The following is an 18,279-nucleotide window of genomic DNA, read 5'->3' as shown; positions in this document are numbered from 1 at the left end:
CAACAGACCTCCTACTAGACTTTTACATGTTCAAAGTCTACCACCAATGGCTAGATAAAATAACTCCCAGATAAAGTGACCAATAGGAAGGGAAGAAAGGGAATACCTTTCACTCAGGTGAACATCACCTATAAAGAGTGATCTAAAAAAAATTCACTTAGCCCCTTAAAAATTGAAACTGCATGCATAAATTTCCCTTTAATAAGCAAGTTTATCCATTTGTTTGTTCATTTTGTTTATTCCTTCAACAAATACTTATTAAGCACCTACATATGTGCTAGGCACTCTTCTAAACACATGGGTTTCAGCAGCCAACAAAACATATAAGGTTTCTGTTCTTAGGAAGCTTACATTTTAATGGCAAAGACAGACAATAGATAAATAAATAATCTGATAATAAGGATATAAAGATATGAAGATGGTAAAGCGGACCAACATGGTTGGTTTGTTTCTGAGTGACATACAAATCCAAGTACAGAGAAAGAATTCATTCTTCAGGGAGAGGAAGAGGGAGAGCAGGAGAATCAGGGAAGGCTTCAGTGGGGGAGGGATGGGCAACTTGGGCCTAGAAAGGGGAGCAGGAGTTTGAGGAGTGTGAGATGCGGGTAGTTAGAGAAACAGCATCTCTGAGTAGGTAACAAACGACCTGTGACTGAATGATATGAACTATGTTAAGATCTAAGGAAAGAGTGTATAGTCCTGATGATTTATCTTCCAGTTGCACAATTTCTTTAAGCTCATTAGCATCACCCTCACACATATTAAATATTAATTTCTCTGTGGAAATCCTTAACTTATAGTTAATAACCAAGAATAGATTAATAGAAAAATCAACAGATCAATAATTCAAAATCAGTACTTATGGCCAGGAGCAGGGGCCCCCGCCTGTAATGTCAGCACTTTGGGAGGCTGAGGCAGGCAGATCACTTGAGCTCAGGAGTTCTAGACCAGCCTAGGCAACATGGCGAAACCACGTCTCTACAAAAAAATCCAAAAAATTAGCCAGGTATGGTGGTGCACACCTGTAGTCCCAGCTGCACTCCACTGCACTCCATTCTGGGTGACACAGCAAGACCCTATCTCTAATTAATAAGTTAATAATAAAATAAATAAATATAAAATAAAATAGTCACTGAATTTATCTGATACAAACTGGGGTTCAGGGCAAGTTTTCTCCCGACAGTATTTCAGGAAAATCAGCAATTAGAAAGTTAATTATTTGGAAAATAAAACACTTCAATCTTCAGGTAAAAAGGCCTGTTTGCTTAATTATTTAACATTTTCTTTGTGACTCTCATGATACTACCTCCCAGGTATCTCAATAAATATATATTCTTTTTGAAAAGAGTATGAAAGTATAACAGAGCAAAGATGGGTATTTGCACCAAGTGATTTATTTGTATGAGTCTGAGGAAGAAAGAAAATATGTTAACTGATAAAGATTCTACAAACACACACAATTAGTAGGTTTTTTTTTTTTAACTATTTTAGTTCAGAAGATACATGGAACCCTTACACATGAGTGAGACAGTCTAATTACAGAAAACCTGTTTAGAAAATAGCAGTACTGTAGGGTCACATGACAATGTTTCTATGTTTCACATTTCAGCACATCCATTTACATCTTTCTCATACTTCTGTGTCAAGGCTTAGTGTATGTTCAAAAATTCCATTAACTAAGCTGTGCATTCTACAACAAATACTCGAAAGAATCTTAAAATAAAGTAAGAATAATTGTAGAGATTAATAAATTGAGACTCAGGGTGATTAAACACTTTGTCCAAGGTGTCATTGTTGGGATTCAATCTCACATCTGTTTGAGTCATAGTCTTATCATGCTATACTACCCTTCCAGTAAATACTTGCTGATTTCCAAAATTAGTATTTTCTATTTCTATTACTATTATCCAATCATATTCTGTGCTTCCTTTCTCCTATGTCTGTTCGCAGCACTCTGGACAGCTTTCTCCCCCAGATCACTTCTGCTTTCTACAAGATATTCAATAATTATTCACCAAAATTAGTAAACTAAATCCTATCATGAATGAATAAAAGGGAGGAAGACACACAATAAGGACATTGCTAATGCTATCATATTTTAAAATTGAAATTATAAATTTAAATCTTATTACTTAAATATATAATTGTAAAAGACATAATATTTCCCAAATTTTATCATTGGTGGAAGCAAAAGGATTTTTCCATAATTAATCAGAAGTACACTTTATTAAGATAACAAATACAATATTTAATACATTTTCTCTAAAGCACTGTAAATAATGCGTCTACTACAGACACTAGGAGTCATCTCAACTAAATTAATATTTAAATTACTAATCAAAAATATTTATGGCTTCTACAGCAAGATGATCAGCATCTGATGTACTTCTTGCCCTCAAGGATTTTATGATCTACTAGGAGAATACTGCCTTGACTCAAACAAAATTATAATAATGGCACCTTTTCAGAAGGGCAAAAGACCTATTAATTCTTTCTTTTAAAAAAAGATCCCTTTCCTAGTTACCAAAAAATTTTAAATTAACCCATAAAAATTTTAGTTTTCAACATCTTCAAGTCAAAAATCATTACTGATTTTGTAATCTCTTGATAATAGGTATTAATGAGAAACTAGTTGATTTTAAGCATATCTTTTAATGAATAGATGGCAGTATAGTTTAATAATTAAGAACTTTTGTGTAAACAACCTAAAATAAAAGGCAAACTGTAAATAAGCATCTTCTTAGTAAGTCATTAAACTCAATGTTTTCTAAAATATAATTTGATACCTAATTTTTTCATATTTCATTTGTAATATGGCAAAGTGGCATAAGAATAAAAGTTTAATCCCCTTTTATATATTTTCTCTAAATATTGCTTTGCGGAAAGAATTGTCTTTGAGTCGGCTACATTATACCAGGCACTGTAATCCTTCTTTTACTACAGGATAGGCATATAACCCACATTATTAAATAAGGAGCCTGGATTCCAAACTCTACTTTTAGAAAAAAAAAAGACTACAAATAAAATGGGTGTGTGATCAAAGACATCTATTTAATGCAAACTCTAATCACCAGTATTACTAAAGGGTAATACTCTAAAAGTAATTTAAATTTCTTGGAAAATATGTAACACAGATTCTGAATAATGTATTAGTAAACTGTAAGGTGCATCTTTCTCCATTGGTTCCCAATTTTGGCTGTTCTTTAGAATTACTTGAGGGAGCTTTAGAAAACACTGATGTCTGGTCTGATCCAACCCCTAAGATTCTAATTTAATTGGACTGGGGTGTAGCTCATATATTGGCATTTATAAAGATTCCCCAAGCATTTTAAGTGCAGCCAAGACTGAGAACCACTGTTCTAAACTCATTCATAACTATTTAAATATGTATCGCTTGGTTTAGTGCATGCTGCATTACTTTACTTTCCTCTTTGGCCCATTTAGGAATTTCAGCTGTTATTACTGTTACTTCACTGTGCTGGAGTTTTGCTTCAAATATATTAACTGTGTTGAGGTTCTTTCAGTAAGCTGGTCTCCAAAGAATATTAAAGTAATTGACTTAGGTGTTTGATCATTTTAAATATAGTAGCAAAGCAACTAGGAGTACATCAGTTGGGTGTGGTTAAGAGTTTAGGATTAATTTGTAGCTCTGTCATTACCTTAAAAATACTTTCAAGAAAGGCCAGGCACGGTGGCTCATGCCTGTAATCCCAGCACTTTGGGAGGCTGAGGCGGGTGGATCACCTGAGATCAGGAGTTCGAGACTAGCCTGGCCAACATGGTGAAACCCCGTCTCTACTAAAAATACAAAATTTAGCCGGGCACGGTGGCGCGTGTCTGTAATCCCAGCTACTAGAGGGGCTGAGGAAGGAGGATAGCTTGAACCTGGGAAACGGAGATTGCGGTGAGCCAAGATCGTGCCACTGCACTCCAGCCTGGGCAACAGGGCGAGACTCCGTCTCAAAAAAAAAAAAAAAATTCTTTCAAGAAATATGATGAATTTAAAAGAGTTTTATAGATTTTCTAATTACCTTACTCATGTAGTACATAAGTGTAAATTTTAACATCAGGTTAACAAACTATCTTCTATCTATTTTACTAAAGTAATGCAAATAGCACCAAAGGATGTGAAAACAGTTTTAAGTAACACTAAACATGTAGAGTTTTTATATAACAAGAAAATGTATGGATTTCGAATGTGACATATTTTATTTATTAGAATTTAAGAAACATGGTGAAGTTGTCACGGTGTGAATTCTGTAAAAGAAATAGGATTTCAGAAGTGCTTGAGAGAGTTGTTTGGCCAAACTGAAACTCCAGGGAGGGTCTGACAGGAGCTATTGAACGGCAACATCATATTCATCTTTACATCCTTAGACACACCATGACACTTGCTGAAATAAATGGGAGATCAAGGCCAAGCTCAAAACTATATTTTAAGAACTATATTCCTTAGAAAATAGCTGGTGTTCACGAATTTCATAGTATGACTTTAATAATCAGTTTAGAGGAAATGTTAGAAAATTAAAATGAACTCCCTCCCTAAGTAATTTGATTTGAAAAATTCTTTTTAGAAAGTCTTTGCTCTTATTTTAATGATGGTGAGCAAGGTTTTGCTTCAATAAGAATTCTGAGTTAAAAACACATCTCTTGTTCCTTTATCCACTTGAAAGATTTATCAAATAAAGTTATTCACAAAATGGCTATTTAGTACAAATAAGATTTATGACAAGTTTGAGACTATTATTATGAAGTCTCTGAGGGCAGGAACAGGGTCTCATTCAGCTTTGTATCTTTCAACGCCAAGCACCTAGGAGGTACTCAATTTATACTGGTATTAGTTAACTTCAAGGTCCGCAAACAATGTTAGAAAATACTAATAAAGATACTGTTATTTAACATGCTTATTGTTGCCCTTCAAAGATTAAACTTCACATATGGATGGTAATTTGCCTGGCTAAAATGATATAAAAGATGAACCATGTTAGATGTTGTAAGAGGGGAATAAGAAACAGAGTTGATGCCTTAGCACATACAAACTTATTAAAGAAAGTCAGAGTAACAGAACTTTAGAGTTCCAAGAGATCTAACATAACAGTTCATTAGAAGAAAAGTGCCACCTCATCATTTGGAATTGAAAATGATTCACGATTTCACAGCAAGCTCTTGTGGTCTAAGAAGCCTTATCAGCTGAGATGGATTTGAAGCTATATCTTTAAAAAAAGTTTATTTTACTTTTATTTTAAAATTTTTTTTACTCTCTCCATTTTGGAGATGAATAAAGTTGTATCTTAAGGAAAGGAAAGAATAGGCAGACAGGACACTTAAGAGGAGTCTAACCATATGAACAAAAGCCTAAAATAAGTAGAAGATATTTTGGAAATTAAAAAATAATTTGGAATACAGTGTTTATATAAGTGAGAGAAAGGACCAGATTGTAAGGGAGTATTTAATGCTCAACTAAGAAGTTTGGACTAAAAAGATGGATTCTAAGAATAAATGGCATTTAAAACTCTAGTAAAATAACAATTAAGCAAGGGTGAATTACCTGATACTTTTGTATTTTACCATCTTGAGGTACTTAAAAACAAGCACCCAAATGGGCTAGTTAAGAATAAACATTCCTACTCATTTATACATTCTAGTCTAACATTCTTTTTAAAGTACCAAGGCTTATAAACAAATTTTAAAAGGAGGGAAGTGGAGTGGTGATGGGACGCATCTATGTGCTTTACTAGTTTGAGCTGACCTTTTTTTAAAACAAGAAACATGTTTAATTTTTAACTTAGAAATTTTTAAGTAAAATGGAAAACAATGTATGGCGTTGGCCAACCAAAGAATGGCATATTCCTTACGGTACAATTTGATTTGAATGAAAATTATTATTTATAAACGTGAATGTTTCTCTCTCTACTGTTCTTACTGCTTATAAAGAGATATTGGCATAGCTCTTAAGCTATTCTTAGCATGAAACTTGGTACTTTGGCATTATACTGATGTCAATGCAATTTAATGTAGGAACTCAGTGATGAAATAAATACTGAGATGAGAAAGCAGTGTTTTGTTGAAAACTACCACACAGCATTCCAAATTTCACATGTTCTATTTTAGAAGCATCCTTTTTTTCTTACAAATTTTATCTTTAAAAAAGTATTATGGAAAATGTCAAACATACAAAAGTATAACAGTATAATGAAACCTCATGAACCCATAACCAACCTTCCACAACTATCAACATTCCGTTGCTGTTGTTTCAGCGACTTCTGTTTTTTTCTTTTGAAATATTCAAACGCTAATCTCAACTGGTGTGGTGGCTCACACCTGTAATCCCAGCACTTTGGGAGGCCGAAGCAGGTGGATCCTGAGGTCAGGAGTTCAAGACCAGCCTGACCAACATGGTGAAACCCCATCTCTACTAAAAATGCAAAATTAGCTGGGCGTGGTGGAGCCTGCCTGTAATTCCAGTTACTTGAAAGACGGAGGCAGGAGATTGGCTTGAATCGGGGAGGCGAAGGTTGCAATGAGCTGAGATCGCGCCATTGCACTCCAGCCTGGGCAACAAGAGCCAAACTCCATCTCAAAAAAAAAAAAAAAAAAAAATACCCTGTAAAAACCAAATCTCAGATATGATATAAGTTTATCCATAAACATTTCAGTATGTATCTCTAACAATTACAGACACATTAAAGAAGTCTGTTTCTCCTAAAATTTTTCCCTTAATAAACGGCTCAAGCCAAAACCTTGGAGTCATCCTTAACTCATCTTTCTCTCATACCTCACAGCCAATCCAACAGCCAATACTGGATAATTTGGAACCTTCACTGCTACCACTGTAATCTAAGTTACAATCGCCTTTTACGTGTATTATGGCCACAGCTCCTTCATTGGTCTCCTTAATGCCCCTGAAACTTCAGTCTTTGTACTTCTTCCTGCTGCCTGAAATACTTTTATTCCAAAAAAAACTAGGTCTGTCACTTCCTTGAGGTCTCTTGAATTTCATCCTATTAGAAAGACTTGCCCTGACCATCCTATCTATACACGATACTAATGTTAGAAAATACTAATAAAGATATTAACAACCACCATCTCTGCGTTATTCTATTCTTCTGGCCATGATTTTTATCACCACCTGATGTATTTACAAGCTTATCTTCCGCTACAATGTAAGCTTCAGGAGGGCAGACACTTTGCTGATTTTATTCACTGCTGTATCACCAGTGTCCACAGTAGCCACAAGCAGACATCAGACATGCAGTAGACACTTAAATATTTAAAACTGAAAAGAAAATTATTTGATGGCTAACAGATTAGCATAAAATTTAAAACTTTTTCCTAAAGAATTTGAAACAAGGAATTAAAATTCTTTGGGAAGTACACATTTTGAGAGCTTTGCTAGATTTAATTTTTTAAATTGAGTCTATCCACAATTTAAATCAGACTAAATTCTAGTAAATGTGTCCTCTTTAAGGGGTGTGAGTTATACGTCTGAAACATATTTAACTGTATTTAAAAGAGTAGCATTATACAGTGTCAAATCCTCATAAGCATCTAGAATTATAGGTAATGAGCACTAGGACAAACAAAAATACCAAGGGCTCTAGTCCTCTATTGCAGTCAATGTTAAAAGTGTACAAGTGTCTCACACATCAAAATTCATTTCACACCCTCAATCACTCATTCTTCTTGCACCTTGTCTTTGAACTATTAGAAGCTAGTGAATTTAAATCAAAACATTATTTTAACTATAAAGGCTCAACGTCTACAATATATCATATTTTAGGGAAGGAAGGGAAGAAAAGGGTTAAGGCAGCTAGCTTATTACTCACCATGCAGATTTTAGAACTTAGAAATCAAAAGCTAGAAGGAATTTACCATCTCTAAAGTGTTACTTGCTTGTTGATATGGAAATGCTCAGATTGAACCAGATGATTTTTAAGGTCTCTCTAGGCCACAGCATTCTATTATTCTAGCTATCTTAAATCTGGAATGCTTATCCCGGAAGAAAAAGCAGCTGGGAGTACTAGGTCAGACAGCACCTGGTTATTTACTAGTTGTGCAAGTTTCTTAACCTCAGTAAGGCTGCTTCCTCACATATATAAAAGGGGTTAATAACATCTATCTGGCAAAGTTATGGAAAAGACTGGAGATAATATGTCAAATGCATTACAAAGTGCTTGACAGGTTTTTCATAATATAGGCAGCTATTACCTTGCTCTAGCTCTACTACTCTTTTGCCAGGGATAGTGCAATGTAGGATCAACTGTGCCAACAAAATTGGGGCAAAGGCAAGGAAAGTAGTAAAGCCACAGAACAGATTTACATTTCAGCACCAATTTGGTATGCATATTAGAAAATTATTTTTGTTTTCTTTTTACAAAAGAGAATGTTGTTGCTACCGTGACCGTAAACACCAGATTGTTTATAATTCATGTTGTGAAATTTACATCTGTTCACAGATTTACTGAGTTGGCATAACATGGGTGATGACTGTGGGAAACGGCCCAAGTTCCTTAGTACTGACACTTCCTTGATTGTAGAATATCGAGAGGTAGTCAACTTTTCCCCTTAAAGTATATTTAAAACATACTACTGTGACTACAGCCATAACAATATCCCCGCATCTCTCCTTGATCTACAGCTGGTGCTTCCCATTTTGAAAAAGAGTGAAAACCCCCCAACCCTAGGTTTCTTGTGGTCTTGGCAAAGTCTCAACGCCAACTGGCGATCTCCATTTCCCCCGCGGGCTGCCAAGCCCAGGACAGTCCTTTCAGGGAGAAAGAGGGCCGGAGGGAACTGTGTTGGCAGCTCTCTGGGTTGAAGGACAGGAAAAGGAAACTCCCTTCTTGGACTCCGAGGGGAGGGTGAGAGACGAAAGGAAAGGGTGGGGGGTAGTGCAAGAATGGCCTGTGTCTCGGTTACCGCAAAGGACTCGCAAGCCTCCGCCAGCCCCGGGGTGGAGGCCACAGGAGCACTGACGTCGTGGTATCAGAAAGGCGGACAGTGCAGCCTTAGTGTTCCCCAGGGGTGGGAGGAAGCTCCCGGCCCCGTCCCCACCCCGCCTCGCTTCCCAGGGAGCGGCGGTTGGGCAGGAGCGGGGCAGAAATCCGCCGCCGGGCCCGGGGAGGGGACCAGGCCGCGCCCATCTCCCAGGCCTCTGGCTGCAGCAGGCCCGCTGGGTGGTCGGCGAGGCCCGGGGGCGCCGCGTCGAGCTGCGGTCCCCTCCCTCAACCTTCCCGGGCGCCGCCACCCCTTTTCCCCCCAGCACCAGGGTACCTGCACGGCGCGACTGAGGAAGGTGCCTGCGTCGGCCGCCAGCTTCTTCACGTTGAAGTCCATGATATTCATCCTAGGCGGCAGCCGGGCGGAGCCGGCCGACCTAGCGGCGGCGAGGCGGAGGTGCCGCGGCCGGGCTGGGGCGCAGGGCTAGAGCGGCGAGGGCAGACGTGGTAGGTGGAGGGAGGCGGCGCCAGCCCCGCAGCCGCAGCTGTCGTTTCCGTGAACGGGGAGGATGAAGGCGGGGCGAGGGAGGAGAACAAGCGCGCGGCGGCAGCGCCAAGGATGGGTCAGTCGGCTCGGAGAACGGCCGCTAACGTCGACGATGGGCCCCGCGGGCGAGCCGGAGATGGACGGGCGACCCCGCCGTGTGGACCCGGGTCCCAAGGGAAAAACAAGCGCGGGCCGCGGGGCGGAGCCTTTCTCGAGGTTATCGCGGGAACAGCGACCCCTTGAGGATTGCGGCGGCGCAGCCCCGGGGCGCGCCGGGAGCTCCGCCCGGCTCCTGTGGAGGAAGCGGCGAGGGCGAGCCGCGGGGTCTCGGCGCCTCTGTATGCTTGCACTTAACGAGAACCCAGAGCGAACACGACCCACATTTCTCTTTTTGTTTTAAGAGGAAATATAGGAGTTACAGCATAGAATTACAATATCTGGACATTAGAAATAACAGGTCCCGGTCACGGTATGGCACCGCGCGACACACTTGGTCCCTGAGGCCTGGATGCCGCTCAGCAAACGTTCGCGGAATAGGGTTGGGTTTACTGTCCCCCACCGAGCCGGTTGCTCATTCATTCAGCATAATTGAATACCTCCTGTGTGCCAGGCACTGAATCAAGTGTCGGAGACAATGTCCTGCCCTCAAGCTCCTGGCCGGTTACTTGACAACCTTCCGGGACCTCAACGCTATGTGCCTACTGTGTGAAAGCAAAGTGCCAGGTGGAGGACACAAAGATGGCGAGCGACACAGGATAGTCCTTAACAATTAAGCGTGACTAATTTTAATAACAAATGAGAATATGATGTGACATCCGTTCCAAATCCTGTCGTTCCAAGTAACTTCTTAAGCATCTTTCACGATACAGCCTCTGCTTGAAAGGAATTAAAACAGGTACAAGCATGGAAGGAGACGTTGCTATCATATTTCAAGAATAAGAAAATGCTGTTTTGTGTGGTTGTGCAGCAGGCAATGAAATGAGCTTACATTCAAGCTTCCGTGTTTTACTGAAACAACAGTCACAGATGCAGTAGATGTTAAAGGTTGAAAGACGAGTGCAGTAAAAGCATTATGAGGACAAGAAGAAAACGTAAATATTTGTGTTGTTTCATTCTTTGTTGTGGTGGCAGAAACAGCCCCCTCTTTCTAAGGTAACTCCAATATAATGATCTCTCCCAGCTTTGAAATACTCCATGTCTGTTTCATTTTCCAGAAATATGGAAAAATGAATATATAATAAAAAACCCTATTTCTCATTTATTGTCTATTTTAGATCTTTATGTGGAAAAGCACTTACTCTCTTCCCAGAGCACTGTTTTTAAAGTAGGTATATTTGCCATAACCTATGCTCGTCTCTACAAAAGGATCACACCACCGTGTCCACCATTAAAGGGGAAATTCTTTAATGGTGGACACAGTGGTGTCCCTGAATCCTCATCCTCAAGTGTTTCAATCTTCCCAGTCTTGGGAAAACAACAATGTTACTTCTTTCTTTTGCACCCTCTGTAGCTGTAATCCTGTTTCCCCATTCTCCATAAAAGACTTACCTTATTTTCATATATCCTTATTCTTAGCCTTTGACACTTTTTTTTTTGAGACAGAGTTTTGCTGTGTCACCCAGGCTGGAGTGCAATGGTGTGATCTCAGCTCACTGCAACCTCTGCCTCCTGGGTTCAAGGATTCTCCTGCCTCAGCCTTCCAAGTAGCTGGGATTACAAGCATGCATCACCACGCCCGGCTAATTTTTTATATCTTTAGTAGAGACAGAGTTTCACCATGTGGGCCAGGCTGGTCTCGAACTCCTGGCCTCAAGTGATCCGCCTGCCACAGCCTCCCAAAGTGCTGGGATGACAGGTGTGAGCCACCGCACCCAGCTGATTCGCTTTCTTTACAGAGAAAATATAAATCATCACTCTGTTTGGCAGAAGCCTCTTCAACCAAATTTCCTTATTTCCACCTCCTGTTCTCTCCACACTCTTTCCTGCATCATTGCCAAATGTTTCAAAGGAATAGGTGTCTCAGGTGTTCTGAGTAGAGCCACTGCTCCCTTAATCTTGGCTGCACATCAGCATCACCTGGAGAGTTTAAGCAACCACTGATGCCTGGATCCAGTCCCAGAGTGTGGACTGGGCATTGGGATGTTTTAGGAGTTCCTCTAGGTGTTCTTAATGTGTGACCAAGGTTGAGAACTAATTTGTCACCCTCTAGAACTTGCTCCATCAGTCTCTACCCTTTGCCTACAGACTGATTCTACTTCTCTTACCAGATATCAGTCCCTTAAGGGCAGTGTCCGTTTCCTATTTATTTTTATATATTTTATGGTTTACACAGGCAACATAGTGAATTCCCAAATGATTTAGTAAGTGAAAAAAGTAATCAAATCAAGATGTTTACAGTGCTAAGCTCTTTTGTGACACCATCACCCCCAGCCTAAATTTCCAACTATTTATCCATAGATTCAATATTTCCAGTGGCAAGTCTGTTATAGTTTGCTTTTCCTGAAAATTCTTCTTTTCTTGGGTTTCCTACATTGATAAATTGAATCATACACACCAAATCACCTAAGCCAGAAATCTGAGTCCCCTTTGATTATTTCCTCTTATTTCCCACCACCAATTGGTCTATCCTGGCAATTTCTTCTCTGAAACTGTTTCCTATTTTTCATTTTCATCCTCTTTTTAAAAACAAATTTTTTAACTTGAAACAATTTACAAACTAAGAAAACTGTTGCAAGAATAGTACAAAAACTTCTGTGTACCCTTTGCCTAGAAACCCCACTCAAACTTTGCCAATTATTCCAATGTCTTTACAGCAAAAACGTCCCAGCCAAGAAAGATCATGTGCTGCATCCAGTTAGCTTGTTGCTCAATTCTCCTTCAGTCTGGATCAATTATTCAGGCTTTTCTTGACACTATTCCTTCCCCAGAGTTAGCCACTATTTTTAAATTGGTATGATTAATATCTGTTATGTTTTTGTACTTTCACTGAATTTATATGTATCTATGAATGGTACTACTATGTTATATTTTTAAACTGCATAAATGATATCATATAGATAAATCCTTTTGCATTTAGGGGTCTAATACTTCTATTTGTGTATTTGATGACCTTTTTGTTTGTGGATTGATTCCTTTTGCTTTGTACATTGATTCCTTTTAGCTTTTTTTTTTATGGCTCATTTTTAGTGATACAGAAAAAAATGTTTCTTCTGTCAGAGACCCCTAAGGTTATCACTGGCTAGTGAGCAATTTTTACATGAATTTCTTTCTTGGCTTAGAAGTTCTAAGATCATTCAGATATTATAAATTTGAACCCAGATTTGTGGGAGTACAAACTATGATTCAAATTCTCAAGGGAGAGAGATCTTCCTTGTTTTTTTCTCTTTCAGAGCTTGTGCCTTGACAGAAAAGCTTCTTACTATGCCAGAAGAAAAGCTTCTATCTAGTCTACCCTTTCATTGAGGGTACAGAATTTCATGGGTTTTTAACTTATGTGTGTGTGTGAGGTCATGAAGTTGGGGGACAGGGTGTGCTCACAGTTAACTGATTTCTGTTTGCACCAAGGGCCCAAGGTCTTATCACAAGTTACCGTGTATTTTTAAAAATTATAAAGGCCAGGCGCGGTGGCTCATGCCTATAATCCCAGCACTTTGGGAGGCTGAGGTGGGTGGATAACTTGAGGTCAGGAGTTCAAGACCAGCCTGGCCAACATGGTGAAACCCTGTCTCTACTAAAAATACAAAAATTAGCCGGGTGTGGTGGTGGGTGCTTGTAATCCCAGGTACTCGGGAGGCTGAGGCAGGAGAATCACTTAAACCGAGGAGGTTGCAGTGAGCTGAGATCACGCCATTGCATTCCAGCTTGGGCAACAAGAGCGAAACTCCATCTTAAAAAAAAAATTAATGAAAATTGACAAATGATAATTGTATATACTGTATTGTATACAACCTGATTTGTAATATGTATACATCTTGGAATGGCTAAATTGAGTGACTTAACATATGTATTACGTCACATACTTATTTTTATGGTGAGAACACTTAAAGTCTGTTCTTAGTGATTTTGAAGAATACAACATGTTGTTAACTATAGTCACTATGTTGTACAATAGATCTCTTGAACTTATTCCTCCTATGTAACTGAAATTGTATATCCTTTGACCAGCGTCATCCAGCTCCCTCACTCTCTCCCAGCCCTTGCTAACCACCATTCCACTCTTTGCTTCTATTGAGTTCAACTTTTTTAGATTCCATATTTAAGTGAGATCATGCAATATTCATCTTTCTGGGCCTGGCTTATTTCACTTAACATAATGTCTTTAAGGTTCATCTATGTTGTCACAAATGACAGGATTTCCTTCTTTTTAGAGGCTGAATAGTTTTCCATTGTATACATATATCACATTTTTAAAATCCATTTATCACCTCATGGATTTAAACATTCAAGCACCATCCTCATTCAATCCTTTCTCCTCTCCAGACAGGGTCATATTCTGTATTCAAGACCCTGGTGTCCAGTTTCTTTTTTTATTTTTGCCACCTGAATATTTCCCTGTCTTTTTTTTTGTAAGCTCAAGTATGCATTATTATTAATTAATTAATTTATTTTGCTGCATTTTACCCAGCATTTCTAAGTATTTGTAGTAGAAGAGTTTTCATGTTATCTAGTCTGTATTGATTAAGGACTGCTTATGTTCAGCTCAAGTAACAGAAACCTAGCTGTAGTGACTTACCCAAATACTGATTTATTTTCTCACCCTCTAAGAAGTTCAGAGGTAGGCAGTCTTCTGTGTTTTTGTTTTTCTATTCTTATCATGTAGCTTTCATCCTAATGTCTCAAGATGGCTCCTGTAATTCTAGGCATTAAATATGTTTTTAAGGCAGAAAAAGGATGAAAAGTAAAGGCAAAAGTACATGCCAACTGAGTCTACTTCTTACTCCTTAAATCAAGAAAACAGCTTTTTCATAAACCCCACGTAGTAAACTTTGGTTTACATCTCATTAGCTAGAACTGGGTCGTTTAGTTCTCCGTAAATGCATTAGAGACTGATAAATGAAATGTGCCCTGTTGAAAAATAAGTATTTCAATTTTTTATATCTTTAAAAAAATCTATATCAAAAATACATATATATGTATCTATATATCTATATATATCTATATATAGATACATATAAATTCAGTTGAAAGTATACAATCATAATAGAAATTAGTATTTTATTTTTAAATCTTTCTTTATTTCTTAAACAGCACTTACTGTCATCCTGAACAAAAATGGGGTTTCTGTTAGCAAGGCAGAAAGAGAATAGTTATAGGGTAAGCAACTATCAATGTCTGCCATGCTGCTGTAAGGCAAGAATTGAAAGTCTCCCATGCTCACTGAAACTTCCTTTCAGTTTTTAGACTGATAAACAGGGCCACTTACATAATTCGCAGGGACCAATGCAAAACGAAAATATGGAGCCCTTTGTTCAAGAGCAAAAGGAAAGTGCTGTTTAAAGGTATTAAAATAAAACTTTTTCCTTTATTTTGTGATCTCTTTTGACTTGTCATTTTTTTATTTGCTGTTTAATGTCATTCTAAGCAAAGAAAAGATTATAATTTAAATTATTAGAATGATTTTTACCATACATCTTCATGTTGTACAATGACAGTGTTATGTTATGTTATGTTATGTTATGTTATGTTATGTTATGTTATGTTATGTTATGTTATGTTATTTTTTGAGATGGAGTCTCACTGTGTTGCCCAGGCTGGAGTGCAGTGGCACAGTCTTGGCTCACTGCAACCTCTGCCTCCCGAGTTCAAGTGATTCTCCTGCCTCAGCCTCCCAAGTAGCTGGGATTACAGGTGCCTGCTACCATGCCCAGCTAATTTTTGTATTTTTAGTGGAGACGGGTTTTTGCCATGTTGGCCAGGGTGGTCTCAAACTCTGTAATCTGCCTGCCTCGGCCTCCCAAAGTGCTGTGATTACAGGCATGAGCCACCGCGCCCGGCCCTACAATGCCAGTTTTAAAACAAATATAAGAGCATTTCCCAGCCTCACTAATTATCAGGGAAATGCAAATCAAAACCGCAATGCAATACCACCTTACTCCTGCAAGAATGGCCTTTAATTAAAAAAAAAAAAAAGATGTTGGCATGGATGTGGTGAAAAGAGAACACTTTCACACTGCTGGTGGGAATGCAAACTAGTACAACCACTGTGGAAAACAGTGTGGAGATTCCTTAAAGAACTAAAAGTAGGTCTACCATTTGATCCAGCAATCCCCCTATTGGGTATCCACCCAGAGGAAAAGAAGTCATTATACGAAAAAGATACTTGCACATGCATGTTTATAGCAGAACAATTCACAATTTCAAAAATATGTAACCAGCTCAAATGCCAATCAATCAACAAGTGGATAAAGAGAATGTTGTATATATTTTCTGGAATACTACTCAGCCATAAAAAGGAATGAAATAATGGCATTCATAGCAACCTGGATGGAATTAGAGACCATTATTCTGAGTGAAGTAACTCAGGAATGGAAAACCAAGCATCGTATGTTCTCACTCATAAGTGGGAGCTAATCTATGAGGACATAAAGGCTTAAAAATGTTTCAATGGACTTTGGGGACTTGGAGGAAAGGGTTGGTGTGGGGGTGGGGCATAAAAGACTACACATTGGGTACAGTGTACATTGCTCGGGTAACGGGTGCACCAAAATCTCAGAAATCACCATTATGGAACTTATTCGTGTAACCAAACCCCACCTGTTACCCAAAAACCTATTGAAACAAAAAAATTATAGATAAAAAACAAATATAACAGCATTTAAGATGTATGTAGAATCATTGAAATTGTACAATTTGTATTTCACAGTACACGCATGCATATGTATTTTGTTCTTACTAAAACAGTGGAAATGCGGCATGAAACTAAATCAATTTTTAAAAATTTTATTTCTTGATATGTGCATATTCCACCAATACTCTACTTTTGGCCTGCTGATGAAGAGTAAGGAAGGACTGAAAGGAGGAGAAACTATGGGTTGCCTTTTCCTTCTGTCATCTGTTCAGCGTAAGTGGTTGGCAGCTTTAAAAAACCATTTACTTTGTACTCTCATTGGTCTTCTGGAATTCACTACTCATAGATGTATTGAAAACACTATATATGAATGGGGCCTCAAGGAACAGCAGCAGACATGTGTCTGTAAGTGCTGATGTATAAAGATTTCCAAGATACCATATTAATAAAAAAAGTGTATGGAACAGTGTATGGGTAATTGAGTGTAAATAAAAAGGAATATGTGTTATATATATATGTAAGTACTTTGTATATGCATAACTTGTAAAATAAAAATAATTTTAAGAAACTACATATAGCAGTTACCTTTGGGGAGAAGGTATGGGGTAAGGAGCGGGAAGGGTAGGAAGCTTTCACATTTTATTTTGTATCTTTCTGTACTTCTTGGATTTACAACATGTGTATGTATATGTAGATATACACACATGTATAACATTTCTTTCATGTTTTTATTTTTAGATTTCATAGTAAAACCTTTGTTGATTTAATAAACATAATGGATACTCATTAAAATATTCAAACAGCATAGAAAGGGACAAAGAAGAAAGCAGCCAGCAATCCAAGTACCACTATCCAGAAATAGCCAGTGATATCTCTTTATGTGTGGAAATACAATGAAAATTGAGTGAGAGACATACACAGAGGAAGAAGAAAAAGAGTAAGTTATAAAAGGTATTAAATTAAATTAATTTAAATTTAGCAGAAATAAAAAACAAGTAAAAAATGAATAAACCTCATGTTATTTCTTTCCCACAGAGGTATTAGATCCTACAAGACCCCTCTTGGAGTCATTTTATGTGAGGTTTTCTTCTTCCTTCTTCTTTTTTCTAAATCACCTGTTTTAATCTTAGACATCATCTATTAACTTACCATGTTAAAGATGAGGTAATTAGAACTTATTTTTTTCTTTCGTCTTGCATTTGTCTCTCTACCAACTTACATTGCTTTTATTATTTTTACTTTGAGTTAAGCAGTGAGTCACCAGTAATGTCCAGTGTTATTGGAGTATGTAGGAAAACAAGCATTCTCAAACACAATATGAGGAAGTGCACATTGATAAAGATATTTTGAAGGGTAATTTGGCATATTAAGTAAAATTTAAATTTGACCCAGCAATTCTACTTATAGCAATCTATCCAAAGCATATTTGTACAAAGATAAGTATACAAGCTTTTGTGCAACACTGTTTTTAATACCAAAGAGTTGGAAATGTTAATCAGTAAGAAAATGGTTTTATGAAGTATGGTGCATTCGCAATGTGAAATACTATAGAAAAGTTAAAAGAATTATGGAGACAAATATGTACTGAAATGGAAAAAATTCTAAATTATATTGTTAAGAGAAAAAAGAAAGTCATACAATATACCTACAGTGTGATTCCATTTTATTATGAAATAATATAAATATATATCCACACATTCACACTGATACAGAATTATACATACAGAGAAAGATTGGGGAGAGGAAAAGGACTGGGAAGGTAAAGAGGAAAGTTCATATTTAATCCCATATACTGAAAATCTGCCTTTGTGTTTTACAACAGGAATGTATACGTTGTATAAAAGGCAGAGAAAAGGAGAAAAAACAGTCTCTTCTCCAATATGTGTAAGGAATCTAATTTTAGGTAGTATTTCTGGTTTAATGATTGATATAATGGGCAAATCTGCTTTCTATTTCGGATGAGAAACAAAGCAAAACAAAACACCCTAGCTTTTGACATAATCTGC

General features: G+C 37.8%; 1 protein-coding gene and 1 long non-coding RNA gene across 11 annotated transcripts in view, besides 4 other annotated features; one reads left to right on the top strand and one right to left on the bottom strand.

The window, feature by feature from the left end:
- The window catches only part of SH3GLB1 (SH3 domain containing GRB2 like, endophilin B1), a 43,609-nt gene extending 33,940 nt beyond the window's left edge, over nt 1-9,669 (bottom strand). For all 9 annotated transcript variants that reach the window (XM_006710672.3, NM_001206651.2, NM_001206652.2 and 6 more), the window contains exon 1: nt 9,274-9,669. In XM_006710672.3, the coding sequence (XP_006710735.1) occupies nt 9,274-9,345 (72 nt within the window). In that variant the 5' untranslated portion in view covers nt 9,346-9,669. The remainder of the gene's footprint in view (nt 1-9,273) is intronic.
- Nucleotides 9,016-9,505: a silencer, noted in NCBI's record as "silent region_1042". NCBI's record gives its function as "represses an Ori minimal core promoter by ATAC-STARR-seq in GM12878 lymphoblastoid cells {active_cell/tissue: GM12878}" and the evidence as "EXISTENCE:reporter gene assay evidence [ECO:0000049][PMID:35858748]".
- Nucleotides 9,016-9,831: a biological region, named in NCBI's record as "H3K27ac hESC enhancer GRCh37_chr1:87170097-87170598".
- Nucleotides 9,330-9,831: an enhancer, noted in NCBI's record as "H3K27ac hESC enhancer chr1:87170097-87170598 (GRCh37/hg19 assembly coordinates)". NCBI's record gives its function as "activates a minimal SCP1, AML or CMV promoter by ChIP-STARR-seq in primed H9 embryonic stem cells {active_cell/tissue: H9 hESC(primed)}" and the evidence as "EXISTENCE:reporter gene assay evidence [ECO:0000049][PMID:30033119]".
- Nucleotides 9,752-18,279, top strand: part of CLCA4-AS1 (CLCA4 antisense RNA 1) — a 133,313-nt gene continuing 124,785 nt past the window's right edge. The window contains exons 1-3 of one of the 2 annotated variants that reach the window (NR_135837.1): nt 9,752-10,638; nt 16,483-16,546; nt 17,012-17,224. This is a non-coding gene — a long non-coding RNA (CLCA4 antisense RNA 1). Of the gene's footprint in view, nt 10,748-16,482; nt 16,547-17,011; nt 17,225-18,279 lie in introns of those variants that run through there. The other variant, NR_135838.1, reaches the window with a different exon arrangement.
- Nucleotides 10,396-10,465: an enhancer, noted in NCBI's record as "active region_1279". NCBI's record gives its function as "activates an Ori minimal core promoter by ATAC-STARR-seq in GM12878 lymphoblastoid cells {active_cell/tissue: GM12878}" and the evidence as "EXISTENCE:reporter gene assay evidence [ECO:0000049][PMID:35858748]".

Source organism: Homo sapiens, chromosome 1, assembly GCF_000001405.40.
Source record: "Homo sapiens chromosome 1, GRCh38.p14 Primary Assembly".
NCBI classification, from domain to species: domain Eukaryota; kingdom Metazoa; phylum Chordata; class Mammalia; order Primates; family Hominidae; genus Homo; species Homo sapiens.
This window is presented reverse-complemented; position numbering and strand designations above follow the sequence as displayed.